The 23,760-nt window shown below is 48.4% G+C and overlaps 1 protein-coding gene and 2 pseudogenes across 7 annotated transcripts, besides 5 other annotated features; 1 reads left to right on the top strand and 2 right to left on the bottom strand.

Moving 5' to 3' along the window:
- Window positions 185-1,152: an enhancer, noted in NCBI's record as "H3K27ac-H3K4me1 hESC enhancer chr15:85196867-85197834 (GRCh37/hg19 assembly coordinates)". NCBI's record gives its function as "activates a minimal SCP1, AML or CMV promoter by ChIP-STARR-seq in naive H9 embryonic stem cells {active_cell/tissue: H9 hESC(naive)}" and the evidence as "EXISTENCE:reporter gene assay evidence [ECO:0000049][PMID:30033119]".
- WDR73 (WD repeat domain 73) lies at window positions 505-15,503 on the top strand. 5 transcript variants are annotated; one of them, NR_130945.2, is made up of 9 exons: window positions 505-554; window positions 1,089-1,156; window positions 1,986-2,074; window positions 6,163-6,251; window positions 6,834-6,898; window positions 8,440-8,604; window positions 8,703-8,815; window positions 8,952-9,317; window positions 11,065-15,503. NR_130945.2 is itself a non-coding variant. In NM_032856.5 (8 exons), the coding sequence occupies exons 1-8, from the start codon at window positions 514-516 to the stop codon at window positions 11,316-11,318; spliced, it is 1,137 nt and encodes a 378-aa protein (NP_116245.2). In that variant the 5' UTR covers window positions 505-513; the 3' UTR covers window positions 11,319-15,503. The 5 variants fall into 5 exon arrangements, 1 of the variants encoding a protein (NP_116245.2); NR_130946.2 differs by lacking the exon at window positions 8,703-8,815 and having other exon boundaries at window positions 505-561; NM_032856.5 differs by lacking the exon at window positions 8,703-8,815.
- Window positions 519-758: an enhancer, noted in NCBI's record as "active region_9984". NCBI's record gives its function as "activates an Ori minimal core promoter by ATAC-STARR-seq in GM12878 lymphoblastoid cells {active_cell/tissue: GM12878}" and the evidence as "EXISTENCE:reporter gene assay evidence [ECO:0000049][PMID:35858748]".
- Window positions 12,325-23,328, bottom strand: SCAND2P (SCAN domain containing 2 pseudogene; annotated as a pseudogene). 2 transcript variants are annotated; one of them, NR_004859.1, is made up of 5 exons: window positions 22,490-23,328; window positions 20,407-20,964; window positions 17,368-17,441; window positions 16,311-16,392; window positions 12,325-15,280 (listed from the first exon to the last, which is right to left on the bottom strand). The product of NR_004859.1 is annotated as an SCAN domain containing 2 pseudogene, transcript variant 1 (transcript). The 2 variants fall into 2 exon arrangements; NR_003654.2 differs by lacking the exon at window positions 20,407-20,964.
- Window positions 18,743-21,288, bottom strand: EGLN1P1 (egl-9 family hypoxia inducible factor 1 pseudogene 1; annotated as a pseudogene).
- Window positions 20,501-20,580: a silencer, noted in NCBI's record as "silent region_6770". NCBI's record gives its function as "represses an Ori minimal core promoter by ATAC-STARR-seq in GM12878 lymphoblastoid cells {active_cell/tissue: GM12878}" and the evidence as "EXISTENCE:reporter gene assay evidence [ECO:0000049][PMID:35858748]".
- Window positions 21,051-21,400: a silencer, noted in NCBI's record as "silent region_6769". NCBI's record gives its function as "represses an Ori minimal core promoter by ATAC-STARR-seq in GM12878 lymphoblastoid cells {active_cell/tissue: GM12878}" and the evidence as "EXISTENCE:reporter gene assay evidence [ECO:0000049][PMID:35858748]".
- Window positions 22,895-22,944: an enhancer, noted in NCBI's record as "active region_9983". NCBI's record gives its function as "activates an Ori minimal core promoter by ATAC-STARR-seq in GM12878 lymphoblastoid cells {active_cell/tissue: GM12878}" and the evidence as "EXISTENCE:reporter gene assay evidence [ECO:0000049][PMID:35858748]".
- Window positions 23,329-23,760: the final 432 nt, after the last annotated feature.

Here is a 23,760-nt window from a genome sequence, read left to right as displayed (position 1 = left end):
TTGGGATCCAGACCCTGCCGGCCGCTTCCTCTCTTCTCTGGCCGTCAGAAGGGTTGCCAGCGTTAGCAAATAAAAATACTGGACACCCAGTTAAATTCGAATTTCAGATAAACAATAATTTTATCTAATAAAATGTACCAAATATTGCATGAACATACTCGTAAGAAAGAAATTATTCACCGTTTTTCTGAAATTCGAATTTAACCGGGCGGTCCTGTATTATTTCTGGCCTTGGAGCATTCATTGCCCCTCTCTTGGGCTGCAAACACCTGGCCCTAAAACGGGCGATCATTTGGTCCTCAGGTCCTGCTTGGAGCTGACAGCGGGAAAGTCCCGATTTCAGGTCACTTTTCCCGGAGCTTTCGCGGAGAAAACCCGTAACCCACCCATGCCGGGCCGCAGCTCAGCCTGTTAACCCCGCCCCTAACGGGAGGCCCTGCCCACATCTCGCGAGAGCCGCGCGGCCCCCGAAGGCTCGCAGGCGGAAGTGAGACGCCGGAAGCGGTCGTTGCCATGGATCCTGGGGACGACTGGCTGGTGGAATCCTTGCGCTTGTAAATCGTACGGGGCTGGGACATGGGAGCTGGGCCTGGAGCTTGCCTGGCGGGCGGATGGGTGTGGGTGGAGGCACGTTGGGGATCCTGGTGCAGAGTGGGCCAGCTGTGGCCTCGGGGCTCGCCACCGTGGAGGACTCCGCCTGGGCCTAGGCCCCCATCTCTAGGAAATGGCTCCTTCCTGCGTGCGCGCGTTGTGAGATTACTAGTAAGAGCCGCGCTTGTGAAGACGCAGTGCCCAGTTAGTTTGCGCCAGCCTCTGAGTTCAGCTCAGAACACAGATGATCTCATTGATTCCTCACGTCAACCTTGGGAAATCTGGGTACCCTGGGACGTCCACACATGAGGACCGAGGCTCAGGGACATCAAGGGACTGGCCTGGTCCCAGAAACAGGGAGTAAAATGGGAAGTAAACTCAGTCCCACGTCTGCCTGACTCCAGAGTTTGGGCCACTGAACCATGCGGCTGCCATCTTGGAGTTCTTTGAGCTGTGAAGTGCTGTGCATCGTGTGATTCTGTGTCCCTTTTGTGCAGGTACCAGGATTTCTATGCATTCGACCTGTCAGGAGCCACTCGAGTCCTTGAATGGATTGATGACAAAGGTGGTATACCTTTCTAGCCCTGAAGGAGAGGGAATCTCACTCCTGAGCTGGGTTTCAGGAGCTAAGCCTAGAGGGACCCAACCCACTCTTCTGGGCACCTGAGAGTCACTTGTAGCAATTTGATGCCCCATCAGCACTAATATTCCTCTTATTAAGATCTCTGACCGGGAGCAGTGGTTCACGCCTGTAATCCCAGCACTTTGGGAGGCCGAGGCAGGCGGATCACCTGAGGTCAGGAGTTCGAGACCAGTCTGGCCAACATGGTGAAACCCCGTCTCTACTGAAAATACAAAAATTAGCCGGACGAGGTGGTGCACACCTGTGTACCAGCAGCTACTGGGGAGGCTGAGGCAGGAGAATCACTTGAACCCAGGAGGTGGAGGTTGCAGTGAGCTGAGATCACGACACTGTATTCCAGCGTGGCTAACAAAAAAAGTCTTCAGGCTGGGCACTTCAGGAGGCTGAGGCAGCGGGCAGATTGCTTGATCCCAGGAATTTGAGACTAACCTAAGCAAGGAAACCCTGTCTCTACAAAAAATACAAAAATTAGCCGAGCATGGTGGCTCACGCCTATAATCCCAGCTACTCTGAAGGCTGTGGTGGGAGGATCACTTGAGCCTGGCAGGTTGAGGCTGCAGTGAGCTGTGATCGGACCACTGCACTCCAGCCTGGCTGACACAGCGAGACCTTGTCTGAAAAAGACACAACCAGGTACTCAATTCCTCCATACAAGGCTGCACAGTGAAGGAATGTATCCTTACTTCGGGGGATTGCATGGTCTGCAATCTTTCTAACAATTTGTGACAGCTACCTCTGCTTCTTTTTCCAGGAGTCTTTGTTGCTGGCTATGAAAGCCTGAAAAAGAATGAAATTCTTCATCTGAAATTACCTCTCAGACTTTCTGTAAAGGAAAACAAGGTAACTTAAAATATAAATGCTGAGTATGTCAACTTTTATTTATTTATTAAACATTTGTGGAGCTCCTGTTATCTACCAGGTATTGTCCTGGATACTAGAAAGAGAGAAAGCGCTAGGCCTGCCCTTCTAGTCTAACAGAGGGAGGCACATATGCACAGAGATAAATGCTGTAGAATGTCTCGTGGTTTACAGAGGGCTATCAGAGGAGGAGGTCAGTTATACTTTATCAGAAATAGATTTAGGGAGCGATTAAGGATATAGAGGGCGGTCGAAATGCGTAGAGTGATTAAAGTCACCTAGTGAATGTGTGGTATATAAGGAGTGAGGAGAATATAGTGAGGACGGAACCTCAGGGAACACATTTAAGGGATGAGTACAGGAAGATGCACCCCCCCTCCCCAAAGAATACTAAGAAAGAACAGCCTCTGAGGTAAGAGGAATCTCAGAAAAGGTCAATGTTTCTGAAGCCAAGAGAAGAGAACTTCTCAAGAAAAAAAGAGTTAGTAGCTGTCTAGAGTTCCAATAAAATCATTGAGAGAAGAATTGAAGGCCAGGTGCAGTGGCTTACGCCTGTAATCCCAGCACTTTGGGAGGCCGAGTTGGGCGGATCATGAGGTCAGGAGTTCGGGACCATCCTGACCAACATGGTGAAACCCCGTCTCTACTAAAAATACAAAAATTAGCCAGGCATGGTGGCGCACACCTGTAATCCCAGCTACTCAGGAGGCTGAGGCAGGAGAATTGCTTGAACCCGGGAGGCGGAGGTTGTAGTGAGCTGAGATCGTGCCACTGCACTCCAGCCTGGGCAACAGCAAGACTGCATCTCAAAAAAAAAAATCATTCAGATGAGGAATTGAGTTCATTCATAAGACTGGCAATTGGGAAACTCTTGGTGACCTCTGCTACAGGATTTTTGCTGGTGGTGGTCAGGCCCAAAGACTAAAAATGAAGAGGAAGCAGAGTCACGAAATGTAGGGAGGGAAGAAGCTAAAGCAGCAACTAGTCGGAAACACAGATCTGAGGGAAGGTTTCCTAAACACAGAGGCTTGAGCAGAGTTAGAAGCTATGGGAAAGTAACCCTTGAAGAGGGAGAGGGTGAAAATGAGGGAATATCACAGGGAACACGCTCCTGCTTCCAGGAATAGAAGGTGAGGATAGATCAGGAGTCCAGGGGATGGTATTAGTCATCAGAGGACAAGGGAGGAGTGAGGCATGCAGGCAGATGACCTTGAAGGGCCATGTGGGGGCAGGAATTTGAGTGTTTGCTCCTGAATTCCTTTTTGTTTTGAGACAAGGGCTTGCTCTGTCACCCAGGCTGGAGTGCAGTGGCGCGATCCCTGGCTCACTACAGTCTAAACCTCCCAGGCTCAAGTGATCCTCCCGCCTCAGCCTCCCAAGTAGCTGGGACTACAGGCATGTGCCACCATGCTTGGCTAATTGTTAAATTTTTTTGTAGAGATGAGGTTTCACTGTGTTGGCCAGGCTGGTCTCGAACGCTTGGCTTCAAGTGATCCGCCTGCTTCGGCCTCCCAAAGTGCTGGGATTACTGGCATGAGCCATCACTCCTGGCCCCAAACTTCTTAAAAAAATTTTTTTTTTTTTTTGAGGTCTCACTCTGTCACCTAGGCTGGAGTGCAGTGGCGCGATCTCAGCTCACTGCAACCTCTGCCTCCTGGGCTCAAGCCATCCTCCCACTTCAGCATCCCGAGTAGTTGGGACCACAGGCATGTGCCACCACACCTGGTTAATTTTTGTATTTTTTGGTAGGGACGGGGTCTTGCCAAGCTGTTCTCAAACTCCTGAGCTCAAGCAATCCTCCTGCCTCCCAAAGTGCTGGGATTCCAGGTGTGAACCACCGCACTTGGCCTTTTTTATTTTGTTTTGTTTTAAATTATTTAATGAAATAGGAAACAATCCGAGTGCGGTGACTCATGCCTGTAATCCCAGCACCTTGGGAGCGGGAGACCAACGTGGGCAGATCACTAGAGGCCAGAAGTTCAAGACCAGCCTGGCCAACATGGTGAAACCCCATCTCTACTAAAAATAAAACAAATTTGGCCAGGCGCGTGGCTCACACCTGTAATCCCAGCACTTTGGGAGGCTGAGGTGGGCGGATCACAAGGTCAGGAGTTCGAGACCAGTCTGGCCAATATGGTGAAACCCCATCTCTACTAATAATACAAAAATTAGCCGGGTGTGGTGGCATGCGCCTGTAGTACCAGCTACTCAGGAGGCTGAGGCAGAAGAATTGCTTGAACCTGGGAGGTGGAGCTTGCAGTGAGCCAACATCAAGCCACTGCATCCAGCCTGGGTGACAGAGTGAGACTCCGTCTCAAAAAAAAGAAAAAGAAAAAGAAAATTAGCCGGGTGTGGTGGTATATGCCTTTAATCCCAGCTACTCAGGGGAGGCTGAGGCACCAGAGAATCCCTTAAACCCAGGAGGCAGAGGTTGCAGTGACCTGAGATGGCACCACTGCACTTCCAGCCTAGGTAACAGCATGACACTCCGTCTCACAAAAATAAGTAAATAAATTTATCTTAGGGCCTCACCATGTTATGGAGTTGAGTCTAATTGTTTAGAAGAGAAGAGGCTAAGAGGCTAGACAAGGACATAGAAAAACATTGTTCAGCCTGGGAGAGGCTAGATCCCATGCAGATGTGGCCCAGTTTTTATCAAAGTAGCCTGAGGACCACCCTACCAGGGCCATTAGGAGTGCTGGCTAAAATGCATATTCCTAGCATACTTCCCAAACATACTGAATTATAATCTCAAGAGGGAAAGCTTAGGAAAAATGCCAAGTTTGTAGACTGACATGGTGACTCACACCTGTAATCCCAGCACTTTTTGAAGCTGAGGCGGTGGACTGCTTGAGCCTAGGAGTTCAAGTCCAGCCTGGACAACATGGCAAGCCCATCTCTTCACAAAATTTAAAAAGTTAAAAAAGACCAGGTGTGGTGGCTTATGTCTGTAATCCCAGCACTTTGGGAGGCTGAGGCAGGCGGATCACCTGAGGTTGGGAGTTCGAGACCAGCCTGGGCAACATGGCAAAACCCTGTCTCTACTAAAAATACAAAAATTAACTGGGTGTGGTGGTGCACACCTGTAGTCCCAGCTACTCAGGAGGCTGAGGCAGGAGAATAGCTTAAACTGGGGAGACAGAGGTTGCAGTGAGCCAAGATCACGCCACTGCCCTCCAGCCTGGGCTACAGAGTGAGACTCTGTCTCAAAAAAAAGTTAAAAAAAAAAAAAAAGCCAAATTTGTACTCATAAAACCCAGAGGCTACAGAAGCTATAGGGTAGCACCTAGTGTTCTTCATCTTCCCCATCTCCAGTCAGGCTTGAGTCAGGGGTTCACCCAGACTGAGCCTAGCTGTGAGAACTGATTTAACCTCCCCGCTCACCACCAGCTTTGCCTTGTTTCTTCTATGGCCACCTCCTTTTCCCTTGCCTCTGGTTCCTTACATGGAGATAGTAGAGCCTAGTGGCTAACAGTGTGGACTTGGGTTAGACAGACTTTGGTTCAAATTCACAACTTAATACTTGTATGACCTTATATAAGTGGCTGAAGCTCCTTGTGCCTTAGTTGTGTCATTTGTAGAATAGGGATAATTATAGTACCTATATCATAGGAGGTTGTAAGAATTAAATGTGATAAAGCCCTAAACACTGCGCCTGACACAGTGAATACTGATAAGTTGTAATTGTTAATTTTTATCGTTAGAGGAACCCACCTGACTTCCAGCGGGAGAATGGAGGGAGAAATGGGGATGTGTTCATTGCTCTCTTTGATGAAGCTGTTAAGCTTCTCTGGCTTCTCTAGGAAGGCCTGGAGTATAATGCTTGTGCTGTAGTAAAAGGGGCTAGTGAAAGGCTAGGAGAAGGGTTTTGGATGTGCAAAGGAAAAAGGAAGCTGTACGTGTAGGCAGCTGAGACCAACATTGCCAAATACCAGGACACCAACGCCCTTTCACCAGCTGAGTGGCTTCCATGGCCTCCTGCCAGGCTAGGACCTGACTCCTCACTTAGAGTTCCTCTGAAATGTTCATTTGAAGAGCTGGCTCTGATTGGCTACTCCTTTGTATTTTAGGGCTTATTCCCAGAAAGAGATTTCAAAGTGCGCCATGGAGGATTTTCAGACAGGTCTATCTTTGATCTAAAGCATGTGCCACATACCAGGTATGGTCAATTTTGTGATCCAGCCATCCACACAGGATGGGATGGGATGGCTGCAAATGCCTGGGGGTATTCTGCCTCCTCATCTCCATTCCCACCCCCTCAGCACACAGGCACATGTGAGTGCACAAGTGTGTGCACACAGATACACACAGATTTAGAATACAAAGAAACCACTGCTGTGGCTTCATAGCCCCCCAGAGCCCTTGGACTAATGTAAGTAACAGTTCTACCGGAGTTGCTCCAGGGAATAGATACGGGACAGAAAGATGCTCTTCTATTGCTCTTGGGTGATAATTGCTCAGTTGGGAGAGGCCAAGAGTCTCTGGGTCAGGTTGTGTTTGGCCCCATACTTGTGTCCTCTGTAGGTGACCATCATGACACATGGAAGCTTGGGCTCAGTCTCCCTAAAGTTGATTGAGCCTGCTCCTTATCTGTGAAATGAGGGTGGTTGGCCTTGATGATCTTGCAGTAAGATGTCCTGATATGGGAAGTGGAGTCCCAAGCTAAGTGTGCTGGAAAGGGGAAGGGACCTGTGTGGATAAGCTCCCCATGGTCTGGACTGATTTTGTCTTTTCTGAATAGATTGCTGGTTACCAGTGGCCTTCCAGGTTGTTATCTGCAGGTGTGGCAGGTTGCAGAGGACAGTGGTGAGTGAATTTGACTTGATGGGGTTTGGGGTTCTAGGAAAGTGTGACTCATACACCCCTGTCCCCTAATCTGAGCCAGTTAAGAAGGAGACTCAGGCTGGGGACAGTCTCATGCCTGTAATTGTAGCACTTTGGGAGGCTGAGCTGGGTGGATCACTTGAATTCAGGAGTTGAAGACCACCTTGTACAACATGGTGAAACCTGTCTCTATTAAAAATACAAAAAATTAGCCGGGCATGGTGGTAGGCACCTGTAATCCCTGCTACTGGGGAGACTGAGGCAGGAGAATTGCTTGAACCTGGGAGGCGGAGGTTACAGTGAGCCGAGATCATGCCACTGCACTCCAGCCTGGGCAACAAGAGCAAAACTCCGTCTCCAAAAAAAAAAGTAGTAGTAGACTCAGAGCCAGGTGGGAATTAATCTACTTTAATGCAGACAAGGTGAATTAGCAACCATAGCATGGCATCCAAGCCCCAAATGGAGCTTCCTGTAACCTGCTCCTGGAATTGAGTTCATCCAGAGAACTACTCTCCCTAGGCAGGGGCAGTGGCAACAGCAGAGCTTAGGCTGCTCAGGTGAGCTCACCTCTTTGGCAGCATTAAGCATATATTAAGAGAAGCCTCAGATGTAGAATACAGAGAGGAGAACCTCCCTGCTAACCAAGCAGGTGGAGACAACCAAATAAAAACTAAAACTTGGCTGGGCGCAGTGGCTCATGCCTGTAATCCCAGCACTTTGGGAGGCCAAGGTAGGTGGGTCACCTGACCAGGAGTTTGAGCCCAGCCCGAGCAACATGGCGAAACCCCGTCTCTACTAAAAATACAAAAAAATTAGCTGGGCATGAGGGTGCACATCTGTAATTCCAGCTACTCAGGAGGCTGAGGCAGAAGAATTTCTTGAACCTGAGAGGCGGAGGCTGCAGTGAGCTGAGATTGTGCCACTGGACTCCAGCCTGGGCAACAGAGTGAGACTCTGTCTCAAAAAAACAAAAGAACCAAAACAAAACTTGACTCAAAGCCAAGGATGTTCCATTCAGTGTAAAAAAGATGTGGACTTTCTTGTCCACCTTACAAGACAATGACATCTGTAATGTGACCTGTACTTGCTAGGCTTTAGCAAGTCACTCGAGGTCATGGAACATGTTTTTGAAGAAATAATATCAGTTCATGAATTCTGTACCTGTTTCTTGTCGCTGAAGGGGTAAGTGACATCAGCAGCATGTTCATTCCTTTTCTTGTCTTCTACCTGTTCTCCACAAAAGTATAAAAAGCCAGAATTGCTTTTTGGGTTTTGAGATGGCATTGTCTTCCATTTGCAAAAAACAGTTTATAAGACAAATAATAAAGAAATTGAAATGTTTCTGATGGTTTCAAAAATGTAAACATAAGCCAGAGTAGTTATGTCTCAACATCATCTCTTGCCAGCCGGCAGCTCCTTTTCTTCCTTGATCTTCTAAATGTACAGGGGAAGACAGCTGGCAGCCTGTCATGTTTCAAACCTTCATTAAAGTTCTGGATTTTGGCCTCTTCGTTTTCCCCTAGATGTCATTAAAGCTGTCAGCACCATTGCTGTGCATGAGAAAGAGGAGAGTCTCTGGCCTAGGGTGGCCGTCTTCTCCACATTGGCACCCGGAGTCCTCCATGGGGCGAGGCTCCGAAGTCTGCAGGTCGTTGATCTGGAGTCCCGGAAGACCACGTACACCTCAGGTACCGTGGTACTTTGTCCCTTGCTTGCTGCTCCAGCCGGCATCACCCCCCAGCCCAACTCAGCCACTATAAAAACTGAGTTCAACTCTCTGTGCCAGGTGTTGGGGATACACAGTGAATAAGAGGTAAGCCCTGGCCTCTAAGGGCTCCTATGCTGGGGCAGGATTAGGCAGTCCCAGGGACCAGCACCCAACCAGCTGAGCAGACAATGGTGAGATGAGTGGGAAGGGAGATGTGATTTATTCTGCCTGGGACTGGTGGGAAGGGACCTGTGACCAGCCAGCCCTGCCAAATTGCCAGACCCATCTGCCTCCAGCCGCTTGTCTCCTTTGCTGTCGGTCTTCCAGATGTCAGTGACAGTGAGGAGCTGAGTAGCCTGCAGGTCCTAGATGCAGACACCTTTGCCTTCTGCTGTGCTTCAGGCCGGCTGGGGCTTGTTGACACCCGGCAGAAGTGGGCACCGTTGGAGAATCGCAGCCCTGGCCCTGGGTCTGGTGGAGAGAGATGGTGTGCTGAAGTTGGGAGCTGGGGCCAGGGCCCTGGGCCCAGCATTGCCAGCCTTGGCTCAGATGGGCGTCTTTGTCTTCTTGACCCCCGGGATCTCTGCCATCCTGTGAGCTCAGTCCAGTGCCCAGTATCCGTACCTAGCCCTGACCCAGAGCTGCTGCGAGTGACTTGGGCCCCAGGCCTGAAGAATTGCTTGGCCATCTCAGGTACTGCCGAGCAGGATTTCGTCTTGTTATCTGATCTCTTTCTTCCAGGAGACTGTTGGGTGCTCAGGAAGGAGCCTCCAGCACCATGATAAACCTGGCTCCAGGAGTTAAAGTTGCTCACAGAGAAATTCGAACTCTCCAGGTTCTTCAGTGGCAGGCCTTTTCCTACCCTGGCTACTAAACTTCCACACATTGGCAGCAGGCCTTTCCTAGCCTAGCAGGAATTCAGGTCTCAGGTTGGTGGAGGGGCCTGCAGACAGTAAGACACTGGGACAGACATCGGGCTGGGTCAGAAAGAAAAGGGGACAGTGGCTAACACGGTGAAACCCCGTCCCTACTAAAAATACAAAAAATTAGCCAGGCATGGTGGCAGGCGCCTGTAGTCCCAGCTACTTAGGAGGCTGAGGCAGAAGAATGGCGTGAACCTGGGAGGCGGAGCTTGCAGTGAGCTGAGATTGCACCACTGCACTCCAGCCTGGGCAACAGAGCGAGACTGTCTCAAAAAGAAAAAAAAAGAAAAAAAAAAAAAAAGCAGCAGGGACAGCACCTCAAGGGTACTTCTCAGCCTACTTGCCTTTTGAAATGTAGCAAGTTGGCCGGGTGCGGTGGCTCACACCTATAATCCCAGCACTTTGGGAGGTCGAGGCGGGTGGATCACAAGGTCAGGAGATCGAGACCATCGTGGCCAACATGGTGAAACCCCGTCTCTATGAAAATAAAAAAAATTAGCCGGGTGTTTTGGTGCACGCCTGTAGTCCCACCTACTTGGGAGGCTGAGGCAGGGGAATCGCTTGAACCCGGGAGTCAGAGGTTGCAGTGAGCTGAGATGACGCCACTGCACTCCAGACTGGCGACAGAGCAAGACTCTGTCTCAAAAAAAAAAAAAAAAAAAAAAGTAGCAAGCCAGCTAGGTCAGCAGGCCCCTGGTTCTGGTCTGGTGGTAGCTAGTTGCTTGCGGCACTTAATGTGGGTATCTAAAAGCCAACAGGAAGGATCCGTCGAGGCAGGTGGGGGTTGAAAAAAATCATTAAGAGAGCAAGAAAGGATGATTGGAAATGCCAGGATCCAGAAAGAACAGAAGAGCCAAGCTCAGGTAGAGGGGCTGGCTCTTCAGTACCAGGAAGATGGCAGGATGGAATGAGTGTGTGTGCAGCTAGATCGTGCAGGGACGTGAAGGTATTTCTCTCCAAAGGCTTCTGTTTCCCCCATCGAGTAGGAGACAAGGCCATCTGCTGAAAGGGACCCAGAGGTAGGGGACTGGACTCTGGGGCAACTTGAAAAGGTTTGAAGAAGTCTCTTAAGCCTCAGTTTCCTGGGTAAAATAACAGTATCTGTGTCATACAGTTCTGAGGATTAAAAGAGCTAATACTTGTCCAGAATTAGCCTTCGAGCCTCACGCATAACAGGTGCACAACGGATGCTCATGGTTACATGCCCCACGGAGTCATCAGCTGCCAACACTGAGGGCAGATGCTACTTGCCCGTGGTTAGCCTTTTAAGTGCCTTGATTCCTCATCCAATAGCCTGTTTTGGTACCATAGAACAAATTATAAAAAGTATTTTAGGGGCTGGGTGCCTGTAATCCCAGCATTTTGGGAGGCTGAGATGGGAGGATCGCTTGAGGCTAGGAGTTCAAGACCATCCTGGTCAACATGGTGAAACCCCATCTCTATTAAAAATAGAAAGAAAATTATTTTAAAATAAAATTAGGGACTCATTGTCAAGCCTCTCTTTTCTGTATTCTCAGGTTTTGATGGTACAGTCCAGGTCTATGATGCCACATCTTGGGATGGAACACGGAGCCAAGATGGAACACGGAGCCAAGTAGAACCTCTCTTCACTCACAGAGGTCACATCTTCCTAGATGGAAATGGGATGGACCCTGCTCCTTTGGTCACCACCCACACCTGGCATCCCTGCAGACCAAGGACTTTGTTATCAGCAACAAATGATGCCTCTCTGCATGTGTGGGACTGGGTGGACCTTTGTGCCCCCCGCTGACACCAGCATCTTTCCATCTAGGCCTCTAGAAAGGGGAGGAGCTGCTGTAGTAGCAAGGGTGCTCATGTAGGACTCAAGTGACTACCAGTCCCTGTTACCAGCTGTGTGGCCTTGGGCAAGTCTGCCAGCGTCACTTAGCCTCAGTTTCCTTATCTGTAAAATGAGGATAGTAAGAACTACCTCGTAGTGATATTGCGAAGGTTAGAAGAAACGCATGGCATAATTACTTGGTAGCTATTGTTAGATCTGGGAGTGTGAAATGGTAGCGTTTTGTCCCTGTCTTCACACTATCATAGGGAGAATCAAAAGAGCTAACAAATATAAACATGCTTTGTGAATTTTTTTAAAGAAAAAAATGTAGAGGGGCCAATAAACATGAAAAAATCCCAGCCCTAGTAGCAATTAAGGAAATAGCAAAACAGGATTTCTGCTCCTCTTGAGTGGGTCTCATGGGAACACAGGTGCACTTTCCCACACTTGTCCCCCCAGGTGACTAGGTTCAAGAGACATTTGCTTTTGGTGGCCCCACAAACATTTCCTTTTGAGGGCCCATAGTGAATATTAAAGTGTGCTGGACATGGTGGCTCATGCCTGTAATCCCAGCACTTTCAGAGGCTGAGGTGGGCAGATTGCTTGAGCTGAGGAGTTTGAGACCAGCCTGGGCAACATAGCAAGATCCCTTCCCTTAAAAAAAAAAAAAAATTTGGCTGGGCATGGTGGCTCATGCCTGTAATCCCAGCAATGTAGGCAGCCAAGACAGGTGGATCACTTGAGTCCAGGAGTTCGAGACTAGCCTGAGCAACATGGCGAAACCTTGTCTCTACTAAAAATACAAGTTAGCTGGTTGTGGTGGTATGAGCCTGCAGTCCCAGCTATTCAAGAGGCTGAGGTGGGAGGGTTGCCTGAGCCTGGCAGTTGAAGTTTGCAGTGAGCTGTGATCATGCCACTGTATTCCAGCCTGGGCAACAGAATGAGACCCTGTTACACACACACACACAAAATAGATAAGTTGTTCACTCTGTCAGCATCTATTAGCCCTTCCCATGTGCAACACTAATTACATGCTAGAAATACATAAATGAGAGGCTTCCTAAGGTGGTTGAATTTTTTTTTTTTTTTTTTTTGTAGTAGAGATGGAGTCTTGCTCTGTCACCCAGGCTTGAGTGCAGTGGCGTGATCTCGGCTCACTGCAACCTCCACCTCATGGGTTCAAGCAATGCTCCTGCCTCAGCCTGCCAAGTAGCTGGGATTACAGGCACGTACCACCATGCCCAGGTAATTTTTGTATTTTTGGTACAGACGGAGTTTCACCATGTTGGCCAGAATGGTCTTGATCTCTTGACCTTGTGATCTACCCACCTCGGCCTCCCGAAGAGCTGGGATTACAGGTGTGAGCCACCGCGCCCGGCCAGGGGATTTCTCCTGTGTGAATTCGCTGGTTAAGTGATAATTAACTGCAGTTAAAATTCAGGTCAAGCATGTGGCTCATGTCTGTAATCCCAGTACTTTGGGAGGCTGAGGTGGGAGGATAGCTTGAGTCCAGGAGGAGTTCGAGATCAGCCTGGGCACCATGGTGAACCCCTGTCTCTAAAAAAAAAGAAAGATTTTTATTTAAAAAACCTAAACAAATTCAGATAGGAATTTAAAGATAGACCAGGCACAGTGGCTCACGCCTGTAATCCCAGCACTTTGTGGGGGGCCAAGGTGGGTGGATCACTTGAGGTCAGGAGTTCAAGACCAGCCTGGCCAACATGGTGAAACCCCGTCTCTACTAAAAATATAAAAATTAGAGACGGGCATGGTGGTGGCACACCTGTAATCCCCACTACTCAGGAGGGTGAGGCAGGAGAATTGCTTGAACCTGAGAGGTAGAGGCTGCAGTGAACCGAGATTGTGCCACTGCATTCCAGCCTGGGTGACAGGGTGAGACTCCATCTCAAAAAAAATAAAATAAAGATAAAATCATAAACACTCATAATTCAGTTATACCTTTTTTCAAGTAACTAAAGTTCAAACTTACTTAGGGGAACAGGCTTTCCTGGGTGCCACCTGCTTCTCAAGTCCTGTGCTTTCCACACCACAGAATAGTAAACTGGGTGCACTGAGTGCCTGGTTCCCCTCAGCCCTTAACCAGTGCTGGCTTGTCCGAGTTTAGAATCCCAGGGCTGACTTTGTTGGTGGAATGCTAGCTCCCATTCATTTCCCACCTGCACTGGACGTTTTCTGAATCTCCTTGAAGTCCGGGAGATCTTCATTCCAAAGCTCTTCACTTTTCTGCAGCATTGTGACCCCATCTGGCTGGGGAACTGGAAGTCCTGCTCAGAGAAAAGCAGGAGGGGACATGGAGTTCTGAAATTCACTTTCTGCTCCCATGTCTGGAAGTGACAGGTGAAATGAGAATGATAGTGCCTCTCAAGAAGGTCTAGTTCCCAGAAGAGAAAGTTTAATGACTCATTTTCCCCCTTTTACTCCTTTGAGGGTACAGGATAATGCCCTTATCTATTTTCATAATAATTATAATGATGATGATAATGAAAACTAACGTTTGCCAAGTGCTAATACTGTGTCAGGATCCTCATAACAGCCCAGGGAGGTAGAAACCATCACAATGTCCACTGTCCAGATGAGAAAATGGAGGCTAAGGGTATTTAAAGAGGTTGCCCAAGAACAACAAACCTTTTAAATGGCAGACTGGTGTGTATAATCTACGCAGGGTTCACATCTATGGAACACTTTATTTTAAATTCTTTTAATAATATTATTATTTTTCAGCTGAGTCTGGGTCTCACTCTGTCGCCCAGGCTGGAATGCAGTGGCATGATCACAGCTCACTGCGGCCTCCAACTCCTGGGCTCAAGTGATTCTCCTGCCCCAGCCTCCCGAGTAGCTGGGACTACAGGCTTGCGCCACCATGCCCGGCTTATAGGGCACTTTAGATGGAAACAAATGACTGGATCTTTAACTCCTACCTTTCTCTCCTCTCTTCCTGTAATGTTGTTACTGAAGGCAGGAAGGGAGACTCCTTGGCTAAAGAGCAGAGCAAGAGCCTCAAAGTGGTCTTTGTGAGCCACCCTGGACTACTGGTTCAGTAGAGGGTTGAGTCAAGCAATATTTGAGGACGGGATATAAACAGTATTTCTTAAAGTTGTCACCAATTTTTCCCCCGATGAGGCCATTCCAGACCCAAATTAGTCATAACAGAGCCAGGACAATAATCACATCTCCTGATTCTGAGCCTGAATGCTTCCCACAGGACTGCGTCGCTCCCACTGCTCTGAGGTCCATTGTGGGGGAGAGTTGCCACTGGGATTCCACCTCAAGGCCTGGGGACCAAGCCTCCAGGATTCCTCTTGAGACTCCTCCACTATTTCATTACCATCCCGCCACATCTTCTAGTGCTATGCCCTGGTTCCCTTTGGAATCCTCTCAATCCCAAAGAAGGCCTCCTACCACCTCTAAGGCATCAAAGGTGTTAGAAAGTGCCCCAAGACTCAACAGGGCATCCATCTCATCATAGAAGACACTGGTGCCTGGTGTGTAGGTGCTCCTGGCTTTGCAGTAGTCGGTCAGGAGGTTTTTGAACCGATAGCAACATTGCTCCAGGGTCCACAGGAAGCCATGTTCTCACAGCTGCTCAGCCATAATCCGGTACACCTGGTGGTTTCGATGGCAGGTGCGGAGTTTTTCGTGGATCCAGGCCTCTGAGAATTCCCAGAAAAATCTTGGTTTCTTTGTATCCCCAGTGCACTCCTGCCACCTTCTCATCCTCCAGGGCCTGCCACTCCAGCTCGCTCCAGGTCTTGGCTTTTCTCCAGATTAGCACCTGGCCAGACTTGACTCTCACCCCAGCCACTGAGCAGTCTTTCACACTCTCTTTTTCTCCAGAATTTGAAGATCTAGATGCTGTGGGTTTTCATCCTACTCCACGTGGGAGTTCACTTTGGGCCTATGGATTGGAAAATCTGTTTGCAGGCAGACAAAAGGGAGATGTAATGGTTTGGTAAATCTAATCCCAACCATTTTATATGCCAGGGAGAGGAGATAGTAATTTTTTTTTTTTAATTCTGGGGGGATTCTTGGGAAAGCTCAGTGAAAAGAACAACTAGAAAAAAAAATTCAGGCCCAAATGCATAACTATATATCCACGTTCATCTATCTTAAATAAAATTCAGACACATACCTAAACTGACCATCTCCCTAAAATGAGCTTTCCTTTCTGGGTCAAGAAATTCATCCTTGGTGAAACTGACTATGGTATTGGATTTCCTTTGAGTAAGATTTAAGGAAGAAATAGATTTGAAATATTCAACCCAGGGGGAAAGGGTGGGAGCAGGGGGGTGAGGGATAAAAGACTACACACTGGGTACAGACTGAGGGGATAAAAGACTGCACACTGGGGCCCCGTGGTGGCTCAGGCCTGTAATCCCAGCACTTTGGGAGGCCGAGGCAGGCAGATTACTTAAGGTCAGGAGTTCAAGACCAGCCTGGCCAACATGGTGAAACCCCATCTCTGCCAAAAAAAAAAAAAAAAAATACAAAAATTAGCTGGGCGTGGTGGCACATCTCTGTAATCCCAGCGACTCAGGAGGCTGAGGCAGGAGAATCACTTGAACCCGGGAGGCAGATGTTGCAGTGAGTCAAGATCATACCACTCCACTCCAGCCTGGGTGATAGAATGAGACTCAGTCTCAAAAAAAAAAAAAAGAAAAAAACAAAGACTACACATTGGGTACAGACTTGATGGATAAAAAAGACTACCCTTGGGTGATGGGTGCACCAAAATCTCAGAAATCACCACTGAAGAACTTTTCCATGCAACCAAACACTACTTGTTCCCCAAACACTACTGAAATAAAAGTTTAAAAAAAATACGTAAGAACAGACATAGGGAAAAAGAAAAAAAATTCAACTTGAAAAAGGTCTGGAGTAGTGAATACTACAGAAACTCCATAGCTAACTTTGACTATGAAAAAAAAAAAAAGGCATTCTTACCCAGCGTGACCTCATTTTCAGAATTCTGCTGAGTTATTTCTAGGTGGTTCTTCAGTCCAGGTTCTGGATCCCTCCATGCCTCCTAGGAGATATACACAGCCGAATCACCAGGTGTCACTAGCTCCTGAGGAAACAACACCCCTTCTCAAAACACATGGCCTCAGAACAAAATGCCTCTCTAATGCCTGAGTCAGGGCAAGTGACACAACAGAAGAAATGAAACAGTGATTATTTTGGCTTTTAAATGCAATCAAGCGGGCAGGAGGAGACAGAAAAGAAACAAGCTGACATTATGCACTGAGCCAGAAGCTTCTCAGACTTGCCCAGAGTTACACAGCAAGTCCAGGGTATGGCTGGGAATTCAACTCAAGGCTGTTGGACTCTGAAGCTTTTGGTTTTTGTTTTTTTTCCTCCACTACACAGTACTGCATGCCATGTGAGCAAGATCCCGACACAGAATGAAGTAACCAGTATCTTTAAGGCAAACAAGCAGATCAGTAGAATCTGATGATTTCAGGGTCAAAGAAAAGAATAATTTTAATGCAATCCCTCATTACCACAGCCATGGCACTGGCCTCATATGGGTAAGGAGATTTGGGCAACCTTTTGCAGGCTGATGAAATTTTGGAGCCTAAATTGTAAAGTTACTGGGCCTCCCTGCTGGGTAAAATTCTTTTGGAATTTCTGAGCGGCAAGAGAGTTGGTTGCAGGAGCCCCACTTGGGTAGTAAAAGGTGACCTGAGGGGGATTGGGGGCTAGGGGAGGGAGAGCATTAGGAGAAATACCTAATGTAGACGATGGGTTGGTGGGTGCAGCAAACCACCATGGCACGTGTGTACCTATGTAACAAACCTGCATGTTCTGCACATGTACCCCAGAACTTAAAGTATAATAAAAAGAGAAAATTTAAAAAAAAAGAAATATAATCTGTAAAGACAAATGACTTAATCGTTTTCCCAAAAGGAGAAAACTGAGCTGTGCCTCAAGAGTTATATTTCTATTAAAAAAAAAAGAGAGAGAGAAAAGGTGATCTATATAAGAGAAATGGCTGACTCACCTGGGAGCTGCTCACTATCTCCTGGCCACCCCTGCTCTTCTCTGCAGGAATTCCCAGAGCCACATCAGGCAGGGCTGGGGGAAGAAAAGGGAGGCATTAGAGTACATGGCTCTCAGCTCCTCTTGGGGACTAGCCCAACTGGGTTCAGACACAGAACAGCCTTTCCTCCCCCTCTTAGTATCTGCTTTGTCCTATCAAAGGAAGGTTGGTGAAAAACCAAAATGAAACATTTCTTTTTTTTTTTTTTTTTGAGACGGAGTCTCACTCTGTCGCCCAGGCTGGAGTGCAGTGGCACAATCTCAGCTCACTGCAAGCTCCGCCTCCCAGGTTCAGGCCATTCTCCTGCCTCAGCCTCCTGAGTAGCTGGGACTACAGGTGCCCACCACCACACCCGGCTAATTTTTTGTATTTTTAGTAGAGACGGGGTTTCACTGTGTTAGCCAGGATGGTCTCGATCTCCTGACCTCATGATCCGCCCGCCTCTGCCTCCCAAAGTGCTGGGATTACAGGCGTGAGCCACCATGCCCAGCCAAAATGAAACGTTTCTAAAATGAAAGTTTTAGGTTTTCCCCTCCATATCCATCTAGGTACTGACTGTCAGGGTTTTATGATTTTGTTTTTCAGGTTTTTTGTTTGCTTTTTGTTTTTTTGAGACAGGGCCTCGATCTGTCGCCCAGGCTGGAGTGCAGTGGCGTGACCTTGGCTTACCGCAGCCTTAACCTCCTGGGCTCAGGTGATCCTCCCACCTCAGCCTTCTGAGTAGCTGGGACTACAGGTGCCTGCCACCATGCCCGGCTAATTTTTTTTTTTTTTTTTTTTGTATTTTTAGAGGAGACGGAGTTTCACCATATTGCCCAGGCTCATCTCTGAACTCCTGGGCTCAAGCAATCCACCCACCTCAGCCTCCAAAGTACTGGAATTACAGGCATGAGCCACCATAACTGGCCTTGTTTTTCAGTTTTGATAACACACCTGAGTCATCTAAATTGGTCTGGGGACACTTAACTGTTTTAAGGATTACTGCACCTTAGTTTAACCCTACCCTTTTGCCCTTCCCACCAACCAGACCTAAAATCTGTCTCCAACTGTAACCTATTGGGACCGGTAATCTCTGACTCACATAAGGAAAGGTGCTACAGGCTCCCCTATGTTGTTTTACAAAACATGCCAACCGAGGTCCTTCTTCACTTTGGAGGTGCCCATTTAGGATCCCAGAAATTCATGCGGTCAGCCTGAGGTCAACACACCAATCTTCTAAGTAGAAGGGAGCTGTACCTTCTACCCCACTTTCTGCACTCACAGAGTACTTCTATGCCCTCCCCACAGAAGGGTACTTCCTTCCTCCCCACACTGCTGCTACTTTTTTTTTTTTTAAATCTGATTTTGCACTTTTTTTTTTTTCTAAGCTAAACATCTTTCAGTACAGGTAAGAAGACTGGCATCACATCTGGGAAGTGCCTTAACAGATATCTGAGGAGTTACTGCACATTAAGTCGGTAACAACACACTTCGGTTTCAAGGCGTATGTAATCTTCCCTTGATGCTCTTCAACAGAGACAAGGTTCCTGTCTGTAGATCAAATAAATCACAGTATTAGGAAAAAAAATAACAGCAAATTTGGAAGTACAATCAACTTAAGGAGAAGCAAAGGAAAAGACTTAGAAATGGGACATTATTGTCTACATCTAGAGGATACATGTATCTGAAAGCTTAAGAAAGCCCTTATCTTAGGAACTTGAAGCTGAGGATAATCTCAAGTTCACTTAGTGCCAGTCACTTTAGTTTTTAAAAAAATTTAACTTAAACCCCAGCCTAGGCAACATGGTGAAACCCAGTCTCTACTAAAAATACAAAAATTAGCCAGGCATGGTGGTATGTGCCTGTAGTCCCAGCTAGTTGTGAGGCTGAGGCGGGAGGATTGCTTGAACCTGGGAGACAGTGGGGTTGCAGTGAGCTGAGAATGCACCACTGCACTCCAGCCTGGGTAACAGAGCAAGACTCAAAAAAAAAAAAAAAATTAAACTCTTCTTATTGTGTCTTTTTCCTTGTAAGACATTAACTAAAAGTTACTGGTAGTAAATGGTGACTGTTTTACAATTGGGTTTCATTATTGACAATATCAAAAAAAAGCAGCAATCTTTAAGAGTTCAAATTAGTGTAAGATAGGAAGGACTGCAAAACAATCTGATTTTTCAGTTGTAATTAAAGTGCTCCTTTTCTTATTTTAAGTAAAATAAAATTAATCAGTCACTGGCAACAATCATTATTAAGAGGTCTTTTAGGGCAAAATTTAATAGTATGAAGAGGTTTACAAAAATAGATTGACGTTATTTTGAGAAATACTGTAATTTTTTCTCAATTCAGTTTTGATAAATTGTACCTAATCATAGAAAAATTATTCCAATTCAAACTTGACATATATTAAAAAAGTAGAGATGAAATTAACTCAGCTACGTAACAGATCTGGCAAAATATAAGAATGAAAAAAATTCTACACAGGGCACTTATTTCATATCCAGAGGTAAAAACATTTTCTATTAGTAGCTTATCTTCTTCCTGTAAGCAATCACAGATTCTAAGTTGATCATGCGGTACAAAGTCACAGCAGTCAGAATCTTCTGTTTGATGCAACACACAAAGTTGTTTGTTTCCTTACTAAAATGCGAACTGGTTGTCTATTTTTCTTTATCCCATTTATTCGTATTCACAAATTAACAAATAGCGTCAACAATTATTGTAGGTGAAGTGGGGTATTGCTGGATCAAAGGCTCTATAAGACGTCTTTACTGACTGAATCTGAAGGTTTATTGAGTTCAATCCTCACACCTTTTTCACCTGTTAGATATTTTACTTTAGCTCGTGCTCTCTCATCTGCATCAAATACCAAACAGTTATTGCGTACTTTGTAGCATATGCTGGTTGTACTTCATGAGGGTTGCGATGGTCAGACCAGAAAAACAGCAGTCTATCAAATTTGGGTTCAATGTCAGCAAACTAGGCTTTACCTTCTAGAAAAATTCGAAGTATACCTCCACTTACCTTGGCATCCCGTTCTTTAACGTAATGTAATACATTTCACACGTCTTCCGTCTCCATTTGGATTATCAACATGACGTACATAACCCGTTCCATTGACCGGATAACAAGCAGCCATGGCTTTTGTCCGGCCCGGGGACGCGCGAGGCGGGGACGCGGCCGCCGCGGGGTCGGCCGCGGACTTGGCCTTTGCCTTGGCTGCGTCCCCGGAGGCGCTGTCCCGGCGCCTCGCTGCCTTCCTGGCCTCCAGGGCCCGGTCCCTGGACGGCGGCGCTGCAGCGGGCGGCGCGGGGCCGGAGTCCTGGTGAGGGCCCCCTCCGTGGCCGAGGGCGCCCTCGCTGCCCTGGCACACGAGCTTGTGCTTCTTCCAGTCCTGGCGCTGGCGCTCCTTGCAGCAGAAGGAGCTGCGGCTGCAGCGCAGCAGGTTCTCCATCTTCCCGCACAGCTCGCAGTACTGCCGGTCTCGCTCGCTCGAGCTCGGCTCGCCGGGCCCGCAGCTGTCATTGGCCATGGCGACCGCAGCTGAGCAGGAGGGGTGCGGCCGGACGGCCTCGCCCGAGGCTGGGGAGCGGAGAGAGAGATAGGGGCCGTCACTGCGCCATGCACCCGCTACCCTTGACTCAAGGAGGCTGGCACCCAGGGCCCTCGGCCGGGTCGCTTCCGAGTCCTAGGCTCCGGCGCAGCGCAGGCGGCCGCCTCAGCGCCTAATCGCCGCCGTGGGCTGAGAGAACGCGGCCTGTGCGGCGAACGGCAACCCGGGCTCGGGCGCGCGAGCCTGCGGAGCGCAAGACCGGCCCCCTCGGCTGCCGCCACCGCCTCAGCGTCCCGGGCGGCCCGGCCCAGGCTGCGGAGGAGCGCAGGGTAAGCGGGTGCCGCTCGCTCTGCGCATTCTGCACGTACACCACGGTACGGCGGCGACCCGGCCGTGCGGCGCGCGTGGGCCCACACTGCGATTTCTTATCACTCTTGCGGACGGGCTAGAGTTCGTTCTATTTTGGGGCTGTGCTTCAACTGTTCCTCTGGTTCTGCTGTGAACTTCACCATTGCCTGGAACAGACAGATTCTGTCTGTGCTTGCTTCGGATGGATGTTTAGAGAACTCAGTACTGATCCTGAGGGCTCCTTCTTTGAGAGCACATCCTGTCCCTCTTCAAGGACTGGAAGTGGTCAAAATTCTGTAGGGACTAAAACTTAAACATCCCAAACATAAAAAAGCAGAGGAAAGGTTGGGTGCAGTGGCTCACGCCTGTAATCCCAACACTTTGGGAGGCCGAGGTGGGTGGATCACAAGGTCAGGAGTTCGAGGCCAGCCTGGCCAATATGGTGAAACCCAGTCTCTACTAAAAATACAAAAATTAGCCGGGCGTGGTGGTGGGCGCCTGTAGTCCCAGCTACTAGGGAGGCTGAGGCAGGAGACTCGCTTGAACCCGGTTGGCGGAGGTTGCAATGACCCGAGATGGCACCACTGCACTCCAGCCTGGGTGACAGAGCGAGACTCCCTTTCCAAAAAAAAAAAAAAAAAAAAAAAAGCAGAGGAAAAAGCCAGTCTTATGCAAAAGCCTGCAACAGCAGTAAAGACGGCAGACATGTGGAAGGCTTTATGGAGATAAGGCCATGGACCACTGCATCCTGGCCACCCAGCTCTCTGGGGACTGCTCCTACCTGCCTTGCCAAACCCTAGGCAAAAAGACATAGGATAATTCAGGTGTTTTGCAATAGGCTCAATAATGTCGACAAAGACCACCGAAGCCGCTTGCCTCTGGCTGGCTGCTACAGAGTGAGAGCTGTTCTCCAAAAAGACATCCCTGTCACATGTGCTCCTCCCTGATCACAGTGAGGCTCATACCATTTTAAGCAATTTTCTTATTTAATGGCAGGGACGGACACTCAGAGCAGCCAATGTTGTGCATTCTCTGAAGAGTCAGCCTGAACTTGGAAGGAAAGTTGCAGATACCATGACCACGAAATAAGCAAATTCCAGTTTAACATCAATAGTGAAGTATGCCCACACTGCTAGTAACCCAAGGCAGCTCTGTCTCTCACATACCTCTATTTTAACTGTTCGGAACTATGTTTTTATAGCTCACCTCCAGCCTCTGTCTTCCAGGTTCTTTCTGCAAGTCTTCCACCAGGGCCACTGCCTCCTCTCCACTCTCCGGATGCTGCTGTCTGACCCAGATCTGGATCTCCTGGAGAAGGACAGTCGGGAACTGTTCTAGGACCAGCAACTCCAGGATCTGCTCTTTTGTACACTTCTCTGGCCTTAGCCACTGACAACAGAGCTTCTGGAGCTGGAGGAGGGCCTCTCGGGGTCGTGATGCTTCTTGGTAACGGAAATGCCAAAAGCTCTGGCAGGATGTCTCTGGTCCAGGGTAATTCCCTTGAAGGGAAATTTCCTGCTCCCAGTGGGAATCTTCTTCCAGTTTAACTATTTGGAGATCTTGTACTGAAGGAGTCTGGATTTGTTGGTCCACAGCTACAGCCATTGTTCAGGTCAGAGAAGAGCTTTGCAACCGCACTCTAAAGCTCAAACCTCTTCATCACCTCACTGGGAAGCCATCTTAGAACTTCCACTTAGGAGTCACTAAGTGGAACTTCTCTTGAAATTCTAGAGTCAGAGACATACATTACAAAGTTAACTCTAGTAAAAATCGCAAGTGTTAGCCCAGCAGGCTTGAGGTGAAGAAGAGAGCCTTCCTGTCCCAGCCCTGTTGCATGCCCTGGTGCCTGTGGAGTCACTGGTGGGGTGGCAGTTCCGGAAGTTTGATAAGAGGAGTCAAGGGCTAGTGACCTGGTTGAAAAGTAGAGGAGCTTGAAGCTGAGAGAATACGGACGATTCGGCCCCGTGACATGTTCTTAGCGGGGACGCAAGAAGCCCGAGCCCAGGTCCCAAACACGGCTATTCGGCTAGCCACTGAGCACCGGAAGCGGAAAACCTAGCCCCAGAAGGACTCCGTGTTCTCCGGAACTACATTTCCCAGAGGCCGCCGCCCGAAGACAGACAGCAGCGTTAGCCCATAAAATGGGAGAATATCTCAGGCGCCTATTCGTTTCAGACGAATCATTGATGACTTTTCTACCAGCTGGGTAAGTGGGGCGGGGTCGCGAACCGCAGCCACAACTCGCGCACCTGGGAGGGTGTGGGTCTTGCCTCCCAGGGGAGGTGGAGATCTCTCGCCCTGCGCGGCCCTGGTGGTATGAGCGAGAGGGGTCTTTACAAAAATTTTTTGTTTTGTTTTGTTTTTTATTTTTTATTTATTTATTTATTTTGAAGCGGAGTCTCGCTCTGTCGCCCAGGCTGGAGTGCAGTGGCGCGATCTCGGCTCACTGCAACTTCCGCCTCCCGGGTGCGAGCAGT

Source organism: Homo sapiens, chromosome 15 (genome assembly GCF_000001405.40).
Source record: "Homo sapiens chromosome 15, GRCh38.p14 Primary Assembly".
Taxonomy (NCBI): domain Eukaryota; kingdom Metazoa; phylum Chordata; class Mammalia; order Primates; family Hominidae; genus Homo; species Homo sapiens.
The sequence above is the reverse complement of the archived record's forward strand: the minus strand, read 5'-3'. Positions and strand labels throughout refer to the sequence as shown.

Excerpts from the sequence above, each read along its gene's own strand:
- WDR73 (NM_032856.5), top strand. The coding sequence starts at position 514 with ATGGATCCTGGGGACGACTGGCTGGTGGAATCCTTGCGCTT. Across the intron at positions 1,157-1,985 it reads TGAATGGATTGATGACAAAG|GAGTCTTTGTTGCTGGCTAT; the intron begins GTGGTATACCTT and ends TTCTTTTTCCAG. Across the intron at positions 8,605-8,951 it reads GAAGACCACGTACACCTCAG|ATGTCAGTGACAGTGAGGAG; the intron begins GTACCGTGGTAC and ends TCGGTCTTCCAG.